General features: G+C 47.8%; 1 annotated feature.

Moving 5' to 3' along the window:
* Nucleotides 2,855-3,418: an enhancer, noted in NCBI's record as "NANOG-H3K27ac-H3K4me1 hESC enhancer chr8:95073181-95073744 (GRCh37/hg19 assembly coordinates)". NCBI's record gives its function as "activates a minimal SCP1, AML or CMV promoter by ChIP-STARR-seq in naive H9 embryonic stem cells {active_cell/tissue: H9 hESC(naive)}" and the evidence as "EXISTENCE:reporter gene assay evidence [ECO:0000049][PMID:30033119]".

Genomic DNA, 3,716 nt, shown 5'->3' on the forward strand with positions numbered 1-3,716 from the left:
GACGATGGTGAGGAGTGAGCACAAACCCCCCTCCTCTGTTCAGACCCTGTGGTGGCTCCTTGCAGCCTCGGCATGGAGCTGGGTCCTTAGCTGGACTTGCAGGACCCTGTCGTGTGGAATAGGCTTGTCCACAGCCTCCTCCACCCTCCATCACACCTGTACCTGCCCCTCTGGGGAGCCATTTCCCCTGACCTCTACTCCTTGGCCTTTCCTGCTCTGTCCCAGCAGTTCCTGCTCCCCTTGCACTTCCCCCTACTTCCCCTGCCGATCCTCCTCGACTTTCCGGGCTCAGGATGTCAGAGGAAACGTCCTCGGTGCCCTGTGATGTGCTTCCTGAACAGCCACGCCCTCTTCTTCAGATCATGGCTTGCTTCACCAAGCACTGCATTCCCGTCCTTACTTTCCTGTCTTGCTCAAAAAACTGGAGCTCACTCAACTCTGAACACCCTGGGCCTGGTACCAACTTGGCCTGAGTCAGCTCTCACAGCTCTGTTTGTGTCTTCCTTCACCTGTTATTTGGCTGCTGTGCAGGGTAATGAGATAATGCCCACCAAGTGCCTAACAGGTGTGCGACAGTAATTATGAGTCCCAAACCCTCCTTACAGTATGCCTTTTAATTCAAAAGGGAACATTATTTTAAAGATTTTTTTAAAAAATTCAGGCATTATTGGAATATATACAATAAAGGTTAAGTCTTCTTCTCACTTAGATTCTCTAGTTTCTTACCCAGAGCTTCAACAGTAAGCCAATAAGCATTTAATACCACTTTTGTGCTGGGCACAGTGGCTCACACCTGTAATCCCAGCACTTTGGGAGGCCAAGGCATGCAGATCACAAGGTCAAGAGATGGAGACCATCCTGACCAACATGGTGAAACCCCGTCTCTACTAAAAATACAAAAATTAGCCGGGCGTGGTGGCTCGCGCCTGTAGTCCCAGCTACTCGGGAGGCTGAGGCAGGAGAACTGCTTGAACACGGGAGGTGAAGATTGCAGTGAGCCGAGATTGTGCCATTACACTCCAGCCTGGCAACAGAGCGAGATTATGTCTCAAAAAAACAACAACAACCACAACAGACCACCTTTGTTTGTGTGTGTATGTGGATGGATAGATAGTGTAAAATAAAAATAAAATAAAATTCTACAGCCCCTGCAACTGACTGAACGGACCCCCTCTTGGCCAAGGGAACCCCAGGGAGAAACGTTAAAGGCTGAGTTCCTGGCCATGATGGGAAGAGAGGTCGGATGAACCTCATCATGCCCCGTCCACTTTGGGGTTTAGACACAACTGACCAGCATTCATGTTAAAAGAGAGATCATAAGATTGACAAAACAGACTCTTGGGACAATGAGACACCAAATTATAAACAAGACCTAGTACTATTCAAGGCAAGGGTTGAGTCAGGCCTGCAGGCCATCAATCTTGCTAAACATGTCATTTTATTGTGGCTGCCTCTGACACTGCATCCTTATCTTAACTCAAGCATTCCTTTCTGTTGACTCCAAGTTTCAGACAGAGCCTTACTCCTCTAACCAATTGCAAATTAAAAATCTCTGAATCCGCCTATAAGCTACAAGCCCATGCTTTAAGACATCCCACCTTTTCAGGTCAAATCAGTGTATACCTTCCACATATTGCTTTCTGTCTTTGCCTGTAACTCCTGCCTCTCTGAAATATAACACTAAACTGTAATCCAACCTCCTGGGGACCACTTACTCAGGGCTTCTTGAGTTTATTTTCCTGGGCCATGAGCATTGATTGGCTCAGAATAAACCTCTTAAAATATTTTTGCAGAGTTTGGTTTTTCTGTCAACAATAGATAGATAGATAGATCCCCTCTTCTTTTTTTCTTTTTTTTTTTTTTTTTCTGGAGGCTCCGTTGTCCAGGCTGGAGTGCAGTGGCATGATCTTGGCTCACTGCAACCTCTGCCTCCCAAGTTCGAGCTATTCTTCTGCCTTAGCCTCCCAAGTAGCTGGGATTACAAGTGTATGCCACCATGCCCGGCTAATTTTTGCATTTTCAGTAGAGACAAGGTTTCACCATGTCGGCCAGGCTGGTCTCAAACTCCTGGCCTCAACTCCTGAGTGATCTGCCCGCCTCAGCCTCCCAAAGTGTTGGGATTACAGGCGTGAGTCAGCGCACCCAGCAATCCCCCTTTTTTATACTAATAGAAGCTATAAACACTGTTCTATATCTTCTTTTTCTCACAACGTATCAACATAACTTAGAGATCATTTCATATTAGCACATGCCTTTTTTTTTTTTTTGAGACGGGTCTCGCTCTGTCACCCAGGCTGGAGTGCAGTGGGGGCGATCTAGGCTCACTGCAACCTCTGCCTCCCGGGTTGAAGCGGTTCTCCTGCCTCAGCCTCCCGAGTAGTTGGGATTACAGGCACATGCAACGTGCCTGTCTAATTTTTTGTATTTTTAGTAGAGACAGGGCTTCACTATGTTGGCCAGGCTAGTCTCGAACTCCTAACCTCAAGTGATCCACCCACCTCCACCTCCCAAAGTGTTGGGATTACAGGCATGAGCCACTGTGTCCAGCCGAATACATTCTTTTAAACAGCTGCCTGATATGCCATGTTATGGGGGTTCCATAATTTATTTAAGTGGCCTGTTAGCAATGGACATTTAAATTTAAATTTTCTACAGACTTTTGTTACAAAACACCATGCTGCGACATACATCATTGCACACTGTCTGGTGAAAGCGCATCAGAATGGATCCTTGTCCTTGAGTGCCCAACACGGAACCTGGCTGTAAGGCAGGGCTCAGTGCCCGCCATGCATTTGAAAGAGCAGCTGCCTCAGACCTCAGACTTAGTCTCCTTCATAGGAGGTGTTTCTCTCCCGCGAGCTCTGCCCCCATCCCAGGAAAGGCAGCCAGAAGCTGAACGCCCAGACCCTGCGCTATACAAATATCAGTAAACAAATAGGGTGACTTTTTTCTTTAAATTCAGACGTGTTGGGACACCAATTTGGATCTCTTGCCAGATTTGAGAAGCCTGTTCTTTCTGAGCCTGAGAAATACTAAGATCTCCTCTATTGTGGTCAGACTTGAAGCTAAAGGGCCTCGGGGCATTTTCTTTAGTTGCAGATGGCTGGAGAGAGGTTTTCCTTGTTCGCCTTTAATGGCCATTGTTAAGGGACAGAAAGAAAGGCCCTGGGATGTCTTGAAGGTACTGAGCCAGAGGCAGAACTCACAGCTCACCTCAGAGGTGAGGGTGAGAGTGTGAAATGCTGTGGCGGTGAAAGTGAGGAGTCCTCGGTGTTCTCTGAGGCCAAGTTTCACAGCCCACTTTCTTCCCTCCCCATGCCCTGGTGGAATGCGGGCATTAGGATGGCACAAGCTCCACTTCCTGGCCCCGGGAGGAGGAATTCCCTGCAGGAGGGAATAGGCCCTTCAGAGCTGATCTGTCCTGTGAGAATTCCCAGCTGTGTGTGTGGCTTGTCCTCCCCACTAGAACAGGAGCTCCCTGTTGGAAAGGATCATTCTGTACCTCGCTCGTGCCCACTCACGAAGCAGATGCTCAACACATGCTCATGAAATGAAGCCAGCCTTGTCCTGACTGCACTTCACTCAGCCCTGGTTGAAGAGGTACGTGACATGGAAGTGTTGAGAACAGTTTGATTCTTGCCATTTTAAGTCAACTCAACAAATACTTATTTATTAAGCTACACATCAGGCATCTTCCTTGAGATTCTCAGGCCTCT

The sequence above is a fragment of the Homo sapiens genome, chromosome 8 (assembly GCF_000001405.40).
Source record: "Homo sapiens chromosome 8, GRCh38.p14 Primary Assembly".
Classification (NCBI taxonomy): domain Eukaryota; kingdom Metazoa; phylum Chordata; class Mammalia; order Primates; family Hominidae; genus Homo; species Homo sapiens.